This window comes from Homo sapiens, chromosome 1 (genome assembly GCF_000001405.40).
Source record: "Homo sapiens chromosome 1, GRCh38.p14 Primary Assembly".
NCBI lineage: Eukaryota > Metazoa > Chordata > Mammalia > Primates > Hominidae > Homo > Homo sapiens.
The window spans coordinates 87,516,578-87,535,876 of NC_000001.11; the positions used below are offsets into that span (position 1 = coordinate 87,516,578).

At 39.8% G+C, this 19,299-nt stretch overlaps 2 long non-coding RNA genes across 3 annotated transcripts in view; one reads left to right on the plus strand and one right to left on the minus strand.

Annotated features, from left to right (window-relative positions):
- Positions 1 to 12,036, plus strand: part of LOC107985408 (uncharacterized) — a 28,253-nt gene extending 16,217 nt beyond the window's left edge. The window contains exons 3-4 of the long non-coding RNA XR_001737795.1: positions 9,863 to 10,038; positions 12,003 to 12,036. This is a non-coding gene — a long non-coding RNA (uncharacterized LOC107985408). The remainder of the gene's footprint in view (positions 1 to 9,862; positions 10,039 to 12,002) is intronic.
- LOC105378835 (uncharacterized) lies at positions 9,757 to 12,340 on the minus strand. 2 transcript variants are annotated; one of them, XR_947567.2, is made up of 3 exons: positions 11,886 to 11,995; positions 10,716 to 10,815; positions 9,757 to 9,934 (listed from the first exon to the last, which is right to left on the minus strand). It is a non-coding gene; the product is annotated as an uncharacterized LOC105378835 (long non-coding RNA). The 2 variants fall into 2 exon arrangements; XR_947566.2 differs by lacking the exon at positions 9,757 to 9,934 and adding an exon at positions 10,178 to 10,591 and having other exon boundaries at positions 11,886 to 12,340.
- Positions 12,341 to 19,299: the final 6,959 nt, after the last annotated feature.

Genomic DNA, 19,299 nt, shown 5'->3' on the forward strand with positions numbered 1-19,299 from the left:
GTTTGTGTAAATGGTTCCAGCTGGATGTGCCTTTATGCTATTCTTAAGGAGCTCCTGAAGAGGAAATTACAAGATGTCCCAGAGGGGCACATTGTGAGGGTCTCACAGCCTTAAGCGCCAAGAAGTTCTTTTCCATATTTGAGGAGCATTGGACCAGGGAGTCATGAAACCTGGGCTCCCCATCAATTCAGATATTTAGTAGTGGTTAAACCTCGGAGTAACTGTTCTTTGACTTGGTTTTCTTTTTCATATGTAAGATGAGAATAAAAGCATTTCTCTTGATACCCACATGAGACTGTTGGAAGGATCAAAGGAGACAGTGATATGTAGAGCACCATTGCATTTCTAAATTAGATTGCGATTTACCAACTTAAAGGTACAAATTGAGATCAATTAGATACAATTAAAGACCGATGAGGCCCAAGGAGAAGCAGAGTGATTAAGAGTGGAAAGCCTCAGTGCATTTAGATTGAGAGAACAGGTATAAGATGGAGTCTATCATGCTTAAGGTTGGACATTAGGTGCATTTGACTTGGTCATGTTCAAGCCTACTGTCTTCATCACAATGTGATACCAAAAGTTAAGTTATATAATATGGCTGTCTCAATTGTCATTGTTGGGTTTAAGTACTCCTTGGAATGATTTTTGCTTCTAGTTTAAGATGCTGTATGACCCAGAATGCACTATCCCATATTTGGCTGAATCCAATTACTAGTAAGATAGTGTGGGTGTTTTGGTGTTGAACCAGAAACCCATCCACTCATTGCACATGTGTTTCCATATCACATAATGAAAAATACATTGTAACTCCAAGCCTTTGATGAATGATGGTCAATTTTTTCCAACACTGGAATTTTTCTAATGCCTGATAAATGTCTTTCATAATTCACTGAAGCCTTTTGAGTACAAGAGAACATCCATTATAAAGCAGAGATATGAATTTTCCCTGGATATACCGTCTGACATGACCCACCTTTGCTTTGCTGGCATTTGAGTTGGGGCCGTTTTGTTGCTGCCCAGTGGGCTATGCTGCTGCAGTGGAAGAGTTGTGACCCTCTCTCCTTCGATACTTGGACACAATTTGTCCTGTCTCTTTCACCCTTGGAGAGCCTCACTGCTCGTCTGCATGATACCCGGTATCATTTTTATGATAAATGAAGGCCTTTCTTCAAGTACGGTATCTCTGCCCTGCTATGGTGTGGTAGTTTGGGGGAGGGGCGTAGGGGTCCTGGCAGAGGAGATATTCAAAAAACAACATAAAAATGCAAAAAACTCCTATACTGTCAATACAGTGTATGGGTGTTGTTTGTCAACTTTGACATGACCTATTGGGCAGGAAGTGTTGATAAAGAGGTTGTAAATGGAAGGAGCTGGAGAGTAAAGGCAATTTGGGAGCATGAATAAGGAGGCCCAGGCCAGATTCCAAGGCAAGGGTTTTAAGCAGTCATAGAACATATGAAATGTACTGGAGTAAGGGAACAAGAGCAATGCAAAGAGGAACAGGGAGCAAGGGAGAGCTGTCCTGGGAGGATAAGAGAAGGGTGTGCCGAAAGAGCATCTCAAGACTGAATTTTGTGTGGAGTGAGCTCTGCTTGCTCTCCTTCTAGAGATTAAAACAGCTACTATTTCACTCTGCCAAATCAAATTTTACTTTTTTTGAACTCAAGCCAAAAGCATTTGCTCATCCATTTACTCAACAAATGTTTATTGAGTGCTTACTATACGTCAGGTAATGTTCCATTGTGCTGGGCGTATAGCAGTAAACCAAACAGGCAAAGTTCCCTGCCCCACTGGGGCTTCCATTCCTATGATATGTCATGGCTCTGGGCTACCCATCACAGACAAATAAGCATCTATGCTCATTCTTCGGATCATGGCTACTACTCTGTTAAAAGCCAAAATTCTGAACCAACAAGACAATCCCTTCTCTGAAAAAGCTCATCATCCAATAAAGTGATTTATGCATGCACAATTAGTGATAAAAGGACAATATAGCACATGGGAAAAGATTTGAAAGAATGAGAATTACTCCCTCCTAATTTTGTTTGACCCCCTACTTTGAGCTCTTGCCCTTAAACCATATAATTATATAATGCCTAACAGATCACAAACTGCATTTGACATCTATTATCTGACTGCATTCCCTGAACAATTACTTATCTTAGATAAAACAGGCATTATTGTTTGCAAATTTGAGAATATAAATGCTCAAATGTGAATGGTACTTTTAAAAAAAATGCAGAATTCTGTATTTCCCTTTCCATTTCATGTCAGACCACATGCCCTGACTTTCCTAACCTCTCCTCGCCATTGGGAGACTAAACTATTGAGTGTAAGAGACTAGGTAAGCCAGTGGCAGTGAGCTGGCTCTGAGAGGTTACTAATCATGGCTAACCAAGTGGGTGCAAAGGGAAGTATGGTGTGGTGGGTGCTGGAGAGGCATTTTGTGCTGTAATTGGCCATGCATGCCCAATTTATGTGTAATGCAATGTGGGGAGGAGTGTTATAAGATATTAAACATTTCTAGTGAACATTTTTTTCCCCTCCACCTACGGACAACCTTTAATGTGCACAGATGTATGGCTTTTTCCTGTCAAGCAGATCCTACCAAAGGAAGGCTGAACAGTGAAAATGGAAGGCAGCCAGAAAGAAAGAGGGCAGGTTTCTTTGCAGTCCTCTTTTGGGAAGTTCTTTCTCCTTTCCCAAAATGCGGGGGCAGGAGGACTAGTTCTCCTCGGATGCTCTCAGGACAGATGCAAGAAATCACTGCAGTCCAAAATCAGGAAGACTGCTGAACAAAGACAGGTTTTCCCCAGCAATATGCGTTTAGAAGTTTGTCAGTCCTTTTTATCCTTACCATCATCCTGAGAGTCGGGGATAGGGTGAGGTACTGCTAGCCCCACTTTATAGACAAGAAAACTAAAACCGAGATCTTAAAAGAGTCTGCAGAGATTACAAATGAGTTACAAGTAAAGTGGAGATTTGAATTCAAGTGTCTTGACATTTAAGCCACAGGTTTCTTTTTCTATGCTACAGTTTTTCCCCCATGAATAAAAAGTGAAGAGGAATTGATGGTTAAATTAAACTTGGTAACTAGTTATATACATGTGTAAATTCAATTATTTGGAAGCCAGCATGAAGTTTACTCACAGTATTATTTTTGTTCTTCTCAACTAATTGTAGTTCTCCAAGTCTTAGGGTAACAGTTTTCAACCTTGCTGCACATCTGGAACTTCTCAAAAACATGGATGTGTGCGTATGTGCGTCCATGTACATGTGCATGTGCTTTTGTGTGTGTGTGTGTGTGGGTGGGTGTGTGTAGGAGGTTGCAATGGGTAACCAGGTTTGGAAACTACTATCAGGTTTGGTGCTTAAGCAGAGTTTAGCTTTAATGTATGGCTTGACCAGGTCTCCCCAAATGGTGTCCCAACAGTGATCAGGCTCTTAGCTTACCAAGGCCCGTATTTGGTTGGCATACATAGAACAACCTACCTCTAGTAGGCAGAATTTTGTAATGACCCTCAATGACCCATGTCCTGTATATTCCTCTCCCCTTTAGATCTGTGAATATGATGGTGATATAATCTCTTGATTGGTTTACATGAATAACAAAAGATCAGTGAATTTTGCAGACTCAACTAAAGCCTCCAATCAGTTGACTTCAATTTAATCAAAAGGAAAATTATTGTGAGTGGGTCTGACCTAGCTAAATGGGCCATTTAAAAGAGGATCTACAAGTCAGAGTCAGAAGAAGCAACAGAGATGTTGGCCTGTTAGCTGTGAATAAACAAACTACTATGTTGTGGATAGAGTCACACAGTTAGGAAGGGCAGGTGGCCTCTGGGAGCTGAAGTCTTCAGTCCTACAACCTCAAGAAATAGAATTTTACAGAATCAGTGAACTTGGAAAAAGACTCTGAGACCCAGATGAGAACAGATGACGTCTTGATTTCAGCCTGTGAGACACTGAGCAGAGAACCCGAATAGCCAGTGCCTGGACTCCTGACCCATGGGAACTGTGAGATAATAAAGTTGTGTTTTTTCTGGTCTCAAAGTTTGTAGTAATTTGTTACACAGCAGTTAAAAAAAAATCCAAATACATTACCAAAATCAAAATAAAGATCTTCTAGGACAATGGCTAATAAATTGCAAACATCTTGGAACTATTTCAGTGCTTTTTAAAAAAACGTCAAAATTCTAGGCAAAAAAGAACCACATGGTAAAAAAAGTCTGAAGGTTAGACATACTTGCATCCAAATCTTCACTCACTTCTAACCCACGTGTGTGTGTGTGTGTGTGTGTGTGTGTATGAAATATGGATAAGCAATATTTTATTAAAAAACACAATTTACATATCACTAAATTCATTCCTTTAAAATGTACAGTCAACTAATTTTTAGTATATTCACAAGGCTGTGTATCTATCATCACTATCTAGCTCCAGAATATTTTAATTCCCCCAAAGGAAGCTCTCAACCCCTTAGCAATCATTCTCCATTTCTCCTTCTTCCTAACCCTTGCAACCACGTATCTACTTTCTATCTCTATGATTTGCCTATTCTGGATAGTTAATATAAATGGAATCATAGAATATGTGGGGTTTTTTTTTGGTCTGCTTCTTTAATTTGGCCTAATGTTTTCAAGTTTCATTTATTATATAATAAACAAAATATGTTATACCTATTCTAGGAATATTATTTAGCCATAAAAAGGAATGAAGTACCTTTTGATTTATGGATTTCATCTTTTGGTTGTTAGGTACATATATGTTTGTATTATATCCTCTTGATAGATTGACACTTTCATTATTCTAAAATGTCCTTTGTCTATAGTAACCACTTCTAACTTAAAGTCAATTTTGACTGATATTGGTATAAGCCACTCCAACTCTCTCCCGTTTACTATTTGCATATTGTATTTTTTCTATGGTTTTACTTTCAATCTATCTTCATCTTTGAATCTAAATATGTCACTTGTAGACAGTATATAGTTGTCATTATAGTACTTTTGTTAAGATATGTATCAGCCTAGTGTACTGACGTAGAAGCCTGGCTCTCCTCAACATTTGTGCTTCCTCTTCTAGAGTATAGAGTTGTTGAAAGGAAGTTATTTTTCAGCAGAGACTGTATCTTCAGCTTCATCTCTCTTATATCTAAGGGATCATCTAATTGGTTTTCACCAATGTATTGTAAGCACTGTGTTGATGCTGAGTCAAAGAGGTTAAGAAATAAGTGTGCTTCTCTTTCTTCATTTCTCAGTTTGATGCAAAAGAGCACATTGATTTTGGGAGCCATGTGTTTGAACATAGTGAAGGTACAAGATGGAAGGAGTCTGGGAGCCTGGATGATACTTGGAAGAACATCTACTTTGGTGTTTTTGAGTGAGAAGTAAATTTTTGTTGTATTTTATCCATTAAGGCATTTTGTTAGAGCAGATAGGATCACCCTAATACAAAAGATGGTCTGATGAAAGCACTGGTACTACAGGATAAGACTAACATCTGCTCAATACATGATCCTCTATGTGGTAGTGACACTTTTGGTAAAATTATTTCCCTGAATCATGTGTATTTGAGGATCTCAGAGTAGGATCTCTACTGTATAGTCAGACAATCTGGGCATACATGGACCTGTCTATCTGGGCTGGTATAATGATCTGGTAAAACTCTTTTGGATAGCAGGGAGAATTCACAGCTGTCAGGTTGGGGCTGATGACTTGCTTCCCGAGGAGAAGACCCTCCCAAGAACAAATGGCTAGGCTTTAACTTCCTAGCTAATACGTTAGACTGAGGAACAATGGATTCCTTTTATGTAGGTCCAGGAAAGCTTCTCTAGGCCAAGGTCAGACTCTTAAAAGAGACTATGTTAAGATGGAAATATCTGGCTAGAGGATTGATGTCAGTTTTCACATCTGGAGAGTCATTCTGGGAGTCAGGAATGTCAGAGAAAGTTGAGAAAATGCTATGAGGTGGGAGCAGAGGACACTTGCAGTGATTTGGGACACATGTGAGACACACCAGGGACCCCTTGAATCAGAGAGATATGGGCTAGGGAGTCTCGAGATTTTTCCAGTGAGGGTTACGTAAGGGGCACCTCTTTTGTTGCTTTATTGTGACATACATTTCTGATTGAACCGTCAGGCTTTTGAAACCTGAGGAAATGTGGCCTATACATATGCTATGATGAGCTGGGTTATGCAGCTTATAGTGGAGGCAGAAAAAGATGCTGTGATTTGCGTCTATTCTTTGCTCATTCTCTTTCATTGTCTGAAGTCCACTTTTTCCCTAATTGTATGACCACTGGGACTAGAGACCCCATGGACGGAGTTCTGAGCAATCTAGGGGAATGCTGTAATAAGAAGCTGCTTCCTATTGATCTCCCCCTCCCAGTAAGCTCTGTATTTGGATTGCTTTGGATGTGGGGGGGAGTGGGGTGAGGGCAAACATCCAGGAACTTACATTTCCAAGAGCTTTGTGGCTTATACTCAGAAACTCAGTGAACTGATAATGATGGCAAGCAGAGGTTAAATCCCCATCTCATCATCAAACTGGGAAGAATAAAGGATTTGTATTCAGTCACACAATGTGGAATGAGGGCAGCTCTTAAAATGATTGCTTAGGGTGCTTTTTTCTCATAGCCTCTATCTGTATGTGATAAAATTTGCTCAAAAAGAAAATTTTGACTAGATATATAATAAATGAGAAATGCCCTTGGGAAAAGGGAAACACCTGTTTTTCCCGCACTCTGTTCAATTCCTACCAGTTAATTCCTCAGGAATATTTAGGTGGCAGACATCAACAATACAGCACCCTGCCTTCCCTAGCCCCTCCCCAACACAAGTCCCTTTGGCATTTTAAATTAAGAGTTATTTTTTCTTCTTTAGCAGACCAGTTTGCCTTTATACTGCCTCCATGGGGCCATGGGAGTACCCTGTCCCTGAATGTACACAAACCCATTTGGAAAACCTGATGTGGAAATGATCCATACAAACAAGAGAATGCCTTTGCTTTTGACCATACATGGATCTTGGCACTGTGTGTGGGGAATTTTCCTGGGCTGTTACACAGCCTCTGCCCTGTGCCCTTGGTGGGGAGGCGGCTGTGCTTTCTTTAGCATGGGTGCTTTTAGAGGGTGACCGCTCAAAAACCTCAGATACTTTCCCCTCACAACAGAAGGGGCCTGCCCCGGGATTTCAGCCAGCACAGAAATGACCCAAAGGGAGATGTTTCTGAACATTCTCTTCCTTGAAATCCATTTCTATTCCTCACCATAGCTTTGCAAGAACTTCTTTTACGACAGCCTCCTGCAGAAGTTTAAAACATTTTCTTTTCCACTTAATTTACTTTCCAATGTCTTACTCATACTTGGCTTCTGTCTTTATTTTACTTCTTTGAGAGTTGAAGGTACTAATATTATTTAATAGCCATATATACACCTTCCCACACAGGGGCTACATCCTTGTTATATTACAAGCCCGCAGCTCCTCATTTTATTCCTCGAAATCAAGAGGAAAACCCCCAACAGAGCGTGCTAGATAATTAGCTTGACTACTGTTTGCTGCAGAACACATTTTTGGTTGGCTTTGGCCTTCAGGCCTCAGTGGAGGGGGCAGTCAGAATGACGGCAGCCTGCTGCAGCCAGATCCAGCTACCTCACCACAGCCCGTAATTGTTTATGAATTAAGCTTTTGCCAAACAAATCTACACGTTGTCTAAACCTTCCATCCCCAGGGTGCATTCCAGCCCACCCACGAAAGCGCAGCGTGGGGCTGCACTTTGAAACGTCTTATTCCATCCTTGACAGAGTTGGTTGGGATTCAAACTTTTTGGTTTTTATCTTTATTGGCAGCATCAGCTAAATCTGGGATTGTTTCTGATCGCCTTTAAATGGTGGCACAGGTGTCACATGTCAAAACTGAGTTCACATCTCTTTACGCCATAACCTATCCCCTGAGAACGGTGTCCCTTTCTGCTCCACAGCTAGTCCCCCGCCCTGCAAGACAGGAAAGCCCTAGTGGAAAGTCCTCCCTCACACACAGTGGATAGAGTAATCCAGCAGGAATAAGCCAACAGTTGCTGCTTGGTATTTGAACATCATTTAATGAGTGCCTAGAATTCATCTGTAAATGCACATTGTTAATTTAGGGCCTGCTCTTCATTAATTAGGGGTTTAGTGGCAAGTGCCATTGAGCTATCTGCAATGTTTAAGGTTACATCAAGCCCTAGTAAACGGCTTGCTGATAACAAGATGCATCCATCTTCATTACTCGGCCACTCCTGTCTGACTTTGCTCAGCATCTTCGAAGGGCTATGCCTCTTGGAACTGAAGAATTAAACTTTTATCCAAACCAGACTCTGCTCTTTCACCTCTTCTGATTCCTTGAGTACTTCCCATTTATTCTGCCTAAATGACATCTGATTACCTAACATGGAGTGGAGCAGGGTCTTAACCTAAAGCAGTCTGCAGATCTCAGTTCTCAGCTGGAAAGTTCCAGCGGGTTAACGCTAAGGAAGCCCTCACATTTCCATTTCATCTGATACTGGGCTCAGTGTAAAAGAAATAGTTTCGAATTTTTCTTCTCATAAGGTTGCAGTTCCAATACAATTTTTTTCTTAAGCCAGAGAAGTACAGGAAATTAATTTTAAACCTGAAGAATAAATGTCCCTATTGGTTCGAGTTTACTTCTGCAGCGTTTCTCTCTCTCAAAGTATGTATTATTTGAGGCAATCATGGTGCCAAATGAAATAATTCCAACCACCTAAAGAGCCTTACATGTTGAGTCTCAGCTGTACAAACGTAGTCATGTTGGAGGTACACACTCAGTCACCAGAGGGGCTCCAAACCTGGACTCCTTTTCCATTTCTAGGCCCGCAGTTGAAGCAGGCAGTGAGAACCAACATTTAGAGGGAACTGCTCTTAAAGAAAATTGTGTAAGTGCAAGTTTGTTTATCCTTCAAATGCTGGGTTAGAGGACTTGCATAAAAACTTCCATTGACAGAGGGTCTCTGTAAGTAGCTGATTCCAAGAAAGGAGACAGCTACCTGGCATGGCTGTTTAACACATTAGGGTGCTTGCAGGGAGAGCCTACTGCTCCCCTGAACCATGGTTCAATTTTAAGCATCACTGACTAGGATGGGTTATTGTAACTATGTTGAGAACTGAGCTTGGAGAGCCTGATGCTCAGTGTATGTGAGGGAGAGGGGAGGAGGAGGAGGAGCTGCCTACTGGAATGATAGCCCAAGGGAGGGTATCTGAAAACCTTTGCACCACTGAGCTGGCACACTTATCACAGGGTGACAGTCTATACCAGGGGCCTGCAGTGCATTGCTGTTTGTGGTGCATGCTGCCAACTGGCTTAGAAAATGCAGATTCCCCTCTCAGATAGAGAGAGTAGGAGGCAAAATGTCAGTTGACTGACATTCTCAACAATAAGTCTTTCTCCGCTCAGCATGCTGGAGTGTGGATCTGTGGATCCCAGCCTGGTCGGCTGGGCTGGAGTAGGAGGTAGCTCTTCCCAGAGAAGGCTCCCCTCTCTGTTGTTACCATGAGCCCACCAGGGGCTAGCATTCAGCTGGCAGGCCCCCATCACTTCTCACAGGTTAGCAACAATGCCATCTTGTTTTCTCTCCTTTCAGTTTTTGTAATTAAATTCCACAAACACTAAGGTTAAAAAAAAAAAAACATGAGTTGTATCTGCAGAGCATCTTCTTGTTATACATCTTACTAAACACAAAATAGAGACTATGGTGAGAAAAAAAGCAAAGCAAACAAACGGCTTGGTTTATAATGTTTAGTCATGAAGTTACCCACATTATATGTGATTGAAAGAGACGATCTTAAGCCGAGGATTTCTTAATTTACCAGAATGATGCGCTGGACACTTGAAGTAAGAGCCCTTTGAAGCTGACGTGCTGCAGGATAAAACACACTCTTTCTCTGGAAAAGAGAAAGCCAAGATACTGTGGGGGCACAAGGAACAATGGAGCCAATGAAACGGAGGTCAGAGCTGAAGGTTTCTGCTACAAGCAAGCTATATACAGGTATTTTAATTTTTTTTCATTCAGCCAGAAATTCTGCTGTACGACCCAGAGCACTGCATGCAGACTGAGAGTCAGAAAAGCACTCAATTGTTCAATTTTTATCATTCAATATTATATTAAAAATTTTTAGGCTCTTCGGGTCAAGGCGACTTTTAAAAGGTTAAAAGCTATTCAAAAGGGTTACCATATCCATAAAAGCAAATGAGATTAAGCCTAAAGACTGATGGAGAAAAAACAGTAATTTAGATAAACTGCCACCGCCTCAAAAATGTTTTGACTTTTACCAGGGAAAGGGAATTCAAAGATTCTTGGATTGGTTGTCATATTAAAGAAAGATTCATTAAATGTGAAGCAATTATTTTAGTGCCTTTTATTGTTTGGTGTGTTTTAGACTGGGTTCCACCTTTCTTCTGTTACATTCTTTATAATGGTTTGGGAGGTGTAATTGCATGGCTTCAACGTCCATCTGTCAACTATTGACCTCACTGGTTGTACATCTGTAACATCAGACACTGTTGTCATGGAAAGAATTACGATGTTTCAATCCAATGTACTGCAAAGTTAGCAAACCCATAACATGGTCGGGATCACATGGAAGGGTTTAGAAAATCTGTTTCAGAGGGCTCAGAGAAAAGTGAATAGGATATTCCCCATTAACTCTTATCTCCACTACTTACCATTGTTGAGAAAGTTATTCCATGACAACAGAAGACCTCAATTTGAACCTTGAACACTTCTGAAGAGAGTACTCCAAACCAAAATGTTGGGGTTCAGTAACTGAGACAAAAACCATTACATGCTTTCAATATGAAGTTACATTTGTATCATTGATTGACTTGGTGGAAACTATGGAATGTCTGTCCTTATGGGGCGTCTTTAATTTTTGCTCAAAGTACTTAAAAGTGTGCTTTAGTCTGGCTTTTGTCCTGATCTCAAAAAACTGAACCTGCTAGAAAGCAGGTCTCTTAGAGCTGGTAGACCAGCCAGAGGAGATTACAGCAATCAGAGTTAGGTGATATTTGCTCAAAAGTCTATGGATATAGAATAACAAATTTTCTCAACATAAAAGTGAAAAGTCGATATAAAAATTTAATTTGATCTGCTGAGAAAAGTTGGTCTGGCCTGATAAAATTAAATGGATAGAAATAATATTTTGGAGACTTAAATTTTATTTTCATTGTCTTGCGACTGAACAAATAAGTACTCTAAGTAAGAAGAAGGGCTAAAATTCCCATTTCATGAGAAATATTCTCTAACAAAGAGTTTTTGGGCTACATATTTTTCACTTTCATAAATTCTAAAAGGAGAATAGTTGATGTGGACATTAAAATAATTGGCTTTCTTGGATCACAAAATGACAAAGCAAAGCTGATCTATCTAAGAGTTTAAAAAGCAATGTGGTTGGCCCTGCCTGAAGAAAATGTACTATGTGAAACCAAAAATTTACAGATGAATAAACTAAGGGATGATTATTCATACTGTAAAAGAGTCTTTAAAGAATTCCCCTAGGATTCTTTTAAAGGCTGAGTTCCACTAGTTCATGAAAGTGTTTGTATGCAGATCATTAACTATTTGACAGGCAGACTGGAAATGCAGGTAGCGAGAACCAAGGGGGAAGGGAGTTCAAGTGGCAGAGGAATAACTGACACCTGAGGATCATCAAATCTCTAAATAAACATTGATAAAACAATCATGAAAGTCAAAGCAAAAAATAGGATATTTACTTACAAGACATGCTTTATATACTAGAGCTGTTGGAGGCACACTATTTGGGTTCAAATGCTAGCACTGCCACCTGTTTAGCTGTATGACCTTGGATAGGTTACACAAGCTCTCTGAATACCAACCTTCTGTGTCTGGAATTGGTGGGTTCTTGGTCTCACTGATTCAAGAATGAAGCCGCGGACCCTGGCGGTGAGTGTTACAGTTCTTAGAGATGGTGTGTCCGGGGTTTGTTCCTTCAGGTGTTCAGATGTGTCCGGAGTTTCTTCCTTCTGGTGGGTTTGCGGTTTCGCTGACTTCAAGAGTGAAGCTGCAGACCTTCGCGTTGAGTGTTACAGCTCTTAAAGGCCGCGCGTCTGGAGTTGTTCGTTCCTCCTGATGAGTTCGTGGTCTCCCTGGCTTCAGGTGTAAAGCTGCAGACCTTCGCGGTGAGTGTTACAGCTCATAAAGGTGGTGCAGACCCAAAAAGTGAGCAGCAGCAAGATTTACTGCAAAGAGCAAAGCACAAAGAGTCCACAGCATGGAAATGGATCCCAGCAGTTTGCCGCTCCTGGCTTGGGAGGCCTGCTTTCGTTCCCTTATCTGGCCCCACCCACATCCTACTGCTTGGTCCATTTTATAGAGAGCTGATTGGTCCATTTTACAGAGAGCTGATTGGTCCGTTTTACAGAGAGCTGATGGGTCCGTTTTGACAAAGCACTGATTGGTGCGTTTACAAACCTTCAGCTAGACAGAAACGTTCTTCAGGTCCTCACCTGACCCAGAAGCCTAGCCGGCTTCACTTCTCAATGGCAGTCGCTATAGGACTTTGCAGCACCTAGCCCAGGCACTCTGGCAGCCCAGAGGGAACTCATCTCCTGATCAAGCCCAGCAGGCACCGGCTGGCTGCGCTGAGCGCGGGGCCTTCTGAGCCCGGCCCACCCGAACCCGCGCAGGCCCCTGAGTGCCGCTTGCGGCCCTGGCTCCCAGACGTTCCTCTCCCTCCACACCTCCCCGTGAGCAGAGGGAGCCGGCTCCTGCCTCGGCCAGCCCCAGAGAGGGGCCCCCACAGCGCAGCAGCGGGTTGAAGGGCTCCTCAAGCGCGTCCAGAGCCATTGGACTCTGAGGCCGAGAAGGCGCCGAGAGCGAGTGAGGGCTGCTAGCACGTTGTCACCTCCCACTTCTAGGTTGTATAAGGATTACATGAGTCAATATATATAAAACATTTGAACAGTGGTCTGGCACATAGTAATTGCTACACACGTTTCTAAGGTGATTCTGGACAAGCTATTACAAAATATCTGTTCTTTACCAAAGTAGAGCTTATTAGCACAATCATGAGACTGGATATAATTTCACAACATCAAAATAATTTCTAGCCCCAAAAGAAAAAACAAACCAAAAACACTGAGAAATAAATTCTGCTTTCTCATTGAGTTTCTAAGGAAGTCAATCTGAAGTTTAACTTTCTTTAAAATTATTGTTCTAACTTCAGTTTTCTAGGAGTTTGACAAAATTTTTAAGTTTGAGAAGTACATAGAGGCAGTCAGCAATCTAGTATCTGTTAATTTTTCTATGTTAAAAGGCTTCGATTCACCTATTATTACATTTGTCATCTTAAGAACAATAGTGCACGGGTTGAAATAAAACATTCTTATTTGTGGGAAAGAAAACCTTTTGCTTGGTTAATTTTACTTGGTTCACACAAGAATGGACACGTTCTTTGTATTCTACTCAATGTCACTACTTATATGTAGCTTTCAGCTTGAAAGGACATTAATTGATGTTTTCCAAAGGAACAACCGGTTACAAGGTGTCCACATTTGCTCTCTTAGTCTGATGAAATGGTTGCATAAAACAGGTTGCCAAACCAGAAATATCAAAAATGGGCATGAAGGTAGGGGTGTGTGTGCAGCGAGTATGGCACTAGGAAGCTGAGCTGGGTGAACAGGAGGAAGCTCACAGGCTTGCTGTGGCTGAGGGAGCCCGCTCTGGGATCCTGCAGTCCACAGTTGGCTATATCATGTTCAGTCCTGACATGGCACACGAGAAGGCCCAGACTGTTGTAAGGGCCAGAAATGACACTTTTTAAAGATTATAAACGGTCTCCTAATTACTCAATGGATTCTTCCTTTGTGTTCCCTGAAACTCCTCTTCCACTCAGAACAAGTTTCCTTATCTGGCCAGCCCTCTTCTTGTGTCATAAGACCCTCAACTATGGCACACGCTAGCCCATATCTTGGTTGGATACAGGTTAAATGAAAATATGCTTTCTGCTTCTCACACTTAGTTTATGTGAGTGAAAGCTGATAGAAATGCGTAAGTAAATAGTTTTTAAGTGCAGGAGATCAAATTACCTCCTTCACAACTTGAAGTTCTTGACAGCTCTGGCAATACTATGCTTTTTTCAAATGTTAAAGTGGGGTGATCTTTACCTACTCTCACAGCAGATTGCCAAATTGTCAGCTTTCAGTGTATTATTTTTTTGAAAAAAAATTAAGTGATTTGATTCATTTTGAGGGAAAATTTCTCAAGTTCAGAAAACTTAAAACCATGAAATTCTATAAATGCTTTTATTTCTGACTTGAGTTATATAGAATAAGGGACAGAACTTCGTTTAAGTGGGAGCTAATTTAGTTGCCTTTAGTTAAACAACTGTCTCTTACTGCAATGGTCCCCAACCCCAGGCCATGGATGGGTACCTATCAGAAACCAGGCTGCAGAGCAGGAGATGAGTGGCCAGCAAGCCAGCGATGCTTCATGTGTAGTTACAGCCACTGCCCATCACTCACATTACTGCCTGAGCTCCGCCTCCTGTCAGACCAGCCACAGCATTACATTCTCAAAGGAGCACAAACCCTATTGTGAACTGCACAGGTGAGGGTTCTAGGTTGTGTGCTCCTTATGAGAATCTAATGCCTGATGATCTGCCACTGTCTCCCATCACCCTCAGAAGGGACTGTTTAGTTGCACGAAAACAAGCTCAGGGCTCCCACTGATTCTACTTTATGATGAGTTGTATAATTATTTCATTATATATTACAATGTAATAATAATAGAAATAAAGTGCACAATCAATGTAATGTGCTTGAATCATCCCAAAACCATCCTCCCTGCCCCTGGGTCTGAGGAAAAATTGTCTTCCATGAAACCGGTCCCTGGTGCCAAAAAGGTCAGGGACCACTTTCTTACTGTGTATTCCCTTTTTGTCCAATGGCTGTTATATGTTAGTACCAAAAAAGCAGATTTTGTTACACTTGCATACAAATCTCCCAAAGCAATCTGTCAGGCTTATGTTCCCCTGTTATATTTTCTCATGATACATTTAACCTTCCCAACACTTGACACAAGTATAACTGAACAATTTATTTACATAATTATTTGTTTAATGTTTGTCTTTATAGATAGACAATAAGCTCTCTCATGATAGGAGCATGTCTGTCTGATTCAATATAGACCAAGGATCACACAAATAGTAGGTGCTCATAAAATTTATTTAATAAAAAACAGACACTAGTAAATATTTTGTGCTTATTCCACTTCATGTTAATTAAGTATCTACATCATGTAAGTCCCACTGAAATTCTTTTTTATTTAAAAATTTTAACTTTTTTTCAATTTTATTTATTTTGTATTGCTACATATTATATGTATATATTTTTAGGGTACATGTGATAACTTGATCCATTCAAAAATCAAATTAGGGTAACTGGGATACCCATCACCTTAAACATTTATCTTTTCTTTAAGCTAGGTACATTCAAATTATTTTCTTCTAGGTATTTTGGAATGTACAATTGATTAATGTTAACTGTAGTCACCCTACCAATTTATTGAACATTACATCTCATTTCTTTTATCTAAGTGTATATTTGTACCCATTAATCAACCTCTCTTCATCCCCCTCTGTCCCCTACTGTTCCCAACCTCTAACCAATATGTATCCGTTAAAATATTCAAACGTGTATAGAAGGGGAATGAATGAAAAGTAAAATTTATCTTTACTGCCTCCTACTGATCTGTAAAGATTTCCAAAGATAATGATTTTAACTGCTTCTTTTTTTAGCATTCTGACATTTACCATCCTATCTCTAAATCGTATGTTGTATTCTTGATTTTCTTAAGATTTGAGATCATATCTGTTGATTTCCAAACAAAAGGTAAGTTTTATGTACTTATACTCTTGCCTTTCTTCTCATTTCCCTTCCAAGTTCTGATTTTTTTGTTGGTTATTTTTGGAGGTAGTGTGTTAGTTTTTATATTGGCTCTCTTTATCACTTAATATTATCCTTAACCTATGTTTTTCAATCACCAGTTTTAGACTGCCTCTATTTTCGCCATACTAGGTGAGCTGAGAAAATCAGCTCACCTAACCTTTCTTTCTTTTCTTCTTTCCCCCTGCTGACTTTTGTCAGTGGAATCGTTATATTTTTACATTTTTTTAAGTTTAAAGCAACTTACATGTAAACAGAATTATAATAATTTACACTTACATATTGATATTTTTATATTTGTGTCACTTATAGTTTGGTTTGAAAGTATAAAAAAGTCTTTCACATATTGTCTATAGGTTGATTTAAAAACATAAAAATCTGAAATATGTAAAAATTATAATGATATAAATATTACTCTCTGTAAAACCATGTCGTATGATTAGGCACATGGAGAAAGCAGTATAATTTCATATCATTCCAAACACCAACTAAAAAGGATTTATATATATATGTTTACATAATATGCTGTCTTTATAATATTTATGTATATTACAACAATTGCTCAAAATGTCATATTTTACTTTCCTTTATATTTCACCATGAATTTATTTTACATCCATTTTCTCATGTACATTACCATCCTCAATATCCTTAACTCACCTCCAATTAATATAAAAAGATTTTTTTTTATAAAGTCCTCTAGTCTCCTTCTAATTTGTCCTCATTACTTTCTTGATGTACTGTTCATTCTGAGATTTCTTTCATTGTACCTCTGGGTCAGGTTACACTGTCTTTGTATTCCTTTTCTTCTTCTTGGTTATTTTTTCATATTGCTGGAGTATATCTTCAAAATATTTTCTTTAGAAAAGGGATGAGAAGTAAACTTTCTAAGTTCTTTCATGTCTGAAAATGCCTTTATTTTTTCGCTTAAATTTTGTCTACAACTGCACTTCATATAGAATTATATGTTTAACATTGCTTTATAGTCTTTTTGTATATCGTGTTGTGTGTTGTTCATAGGACATTTGTGTTAATCTGATGCTCATTTCTTTTTGGTTAATCACTTTTTTTCCCTCTCTGAACTTTTTTTTTTTTTTTTTGAGACGGAATCTCACTCTGTCACCCCCAGGCTGGAGTGCGGTGGCACAATCTCGGCTCACTGCAAGCTCCACCTCCCAGGTTCATGCCATTCTCCTGCGTCAGCCTCCCGAGTACCTGGGACTACAGGTGCCCGCCACCACGCTTGGCTAATTTTTTTGTATTTTTAGTAAAGACGGGGTTTCACCATGTTAGCCAGGATGGTCTTGATCTCCTGACCTCACGATCTGCCCGCCTCAGCCTCCCAAAGTGCTGGGATTACAGGTGTGAGCCACCGCACCCGGCCCCCATCTGAAAGTTTTTACAATTTTTCTCTTCATGCTTGCTGTTCTGAAATTTTACAATGATGTATTTAGTGCATATATTTTCCACTGAACATTTGGTGGGATTTGTCAATAACTGAATTTATATTTTTTCCAGCTGATGGAAAATTTAAGCTATTTTCTTTTATTATTTCTTTGATTATTTCAACTCTTTTATTGTTTACATTGTCTCATTCTAAAACACCTCTACAGATAGGTATAGGATATTCTGGATCTGCGCTCTAGATCATTGCTTTTCAAATTTTAATGCATTAAAAAATAGAAACTCTTTTTTATTTCTAAGAACTCATAGCAGCCTCTTTTTAAATTATAAATACAATATATTCTTGAATTTCTGAGGACACTAATTAGGATTTTTAATGTTTTATTTTATTCCTTGCATTATTACTGATTCTTCTGGGGTCAGTTTTTCTATTTATTCACTTTTGTCTTTCTTTTTCTTCTACTTGGTTCCCCTTAAACATCTGGTCTTGGCTGACTACTAATTTTTGTGCATAAAGGACTACATTCATCAATGTAGAGGGCTGGCATGGGTAATTTTTGAAGTTAAACAGACCATTTCACCCAAAAGGCCACTGCCCTGAATGGAAGGACTGCCAAGCCCTGTGTCAAAGGGTGAAACTTATTGATAAGTGGCTTTTTTATTTTATTTTATTTATTTATTTTGAGATGGAGTCTCATTCTGTCGCCCAGGCTGGAGTGCAGTGGCACGATCTCGGCTCACTGCAAGCTCTGCCTTCCAGGTTCACACCATTCTCCTGCCTCAGCCTCCCAAGTAGCTGGGACTACAAGTGCCTGCCACCACACCTGGCTAATTTTTTTTTGTATTTTTAGTAGAGACAGGGTTTCACCATGTTAGCCAGGATGGTCTTGACCTCCTGACCTCATGATCCACCCGCCTTGGCCTCCCAAAGTGCTGGGATTACAGGCATAAGCCACCACACCCGGCCAATAAGTGGCTTTTTATTTTTAGTATATGAACAGGCCTGGGGCACAACAAGTGTCAAATAAGTAAAATGCTTCATACATGAAGGAAGAAGACAAGCTACCTAAGTCCAGATTTCTGAAGATGATCTTCCAGTTACAAACCCTTATGGCTGCCCCTTAGCCACTCCTGTCTGTATGTGCTTGGAGACTCACCAGAGATCTTTTAAGGAAAATGATTCCTAACTCCACTATATCTTTTTTGGGTTGTAATTTACTCTACTAGAGTTTATTTAGCAATATAATCCAATCTGTCTCCTGTCTTCCAAGACTTCATCAAACTTTCTGGCCTGCTAATATCACCTTCTTTCCCCTCCCTTTTTTTGGTTTTGTTTCAAGTCCTGCTAAGGATTTATTTATTCATTTTCATACAGATATTGTCATTTCGATGAGTGTTTAGAAATGAAGAAGAGGCAACTGCAGGTCTGTCCACCATCTCAAACTAGGAAACTATATAGCTATCTTAGAATTGCTCTACATTGTTATCCGAACTTGGGTAAAACTCTTCTGGCTGCTCACAAATAGACCTAACTGTAAATAGGTAAATTCCCATATAATTTCCCCCAGACCTTGATAATTATTCTTCACGGATCAAGTAGGATTTAATAGTGTTAAGGGCTTTGGATAATTCTAAATTGTTCCCTGAGCCTCTTGGCAGTTTCATATGTGTATAGAAGAGTGTGATAACAAAACAAAGTAACTATAGAGATGTACATAAAAGAAGAAGGCTAAAACAAAAACTAAAGTTAAAGCAGAATTTGAAGCAACTTGGAATTTACTTTGGGGTGTTACATATTTTTATGCTAGTTGGGCTTGACCAACTCTATCTTGGATTTGCCAAGAAAATAATTGATGTGATCATGGAGCCAAGAATGATAACGTGAAGATCTGTGGAGGATTGGCAGGACCCCAGATCACTGGGAAAAAGCCAAAGGAGTACC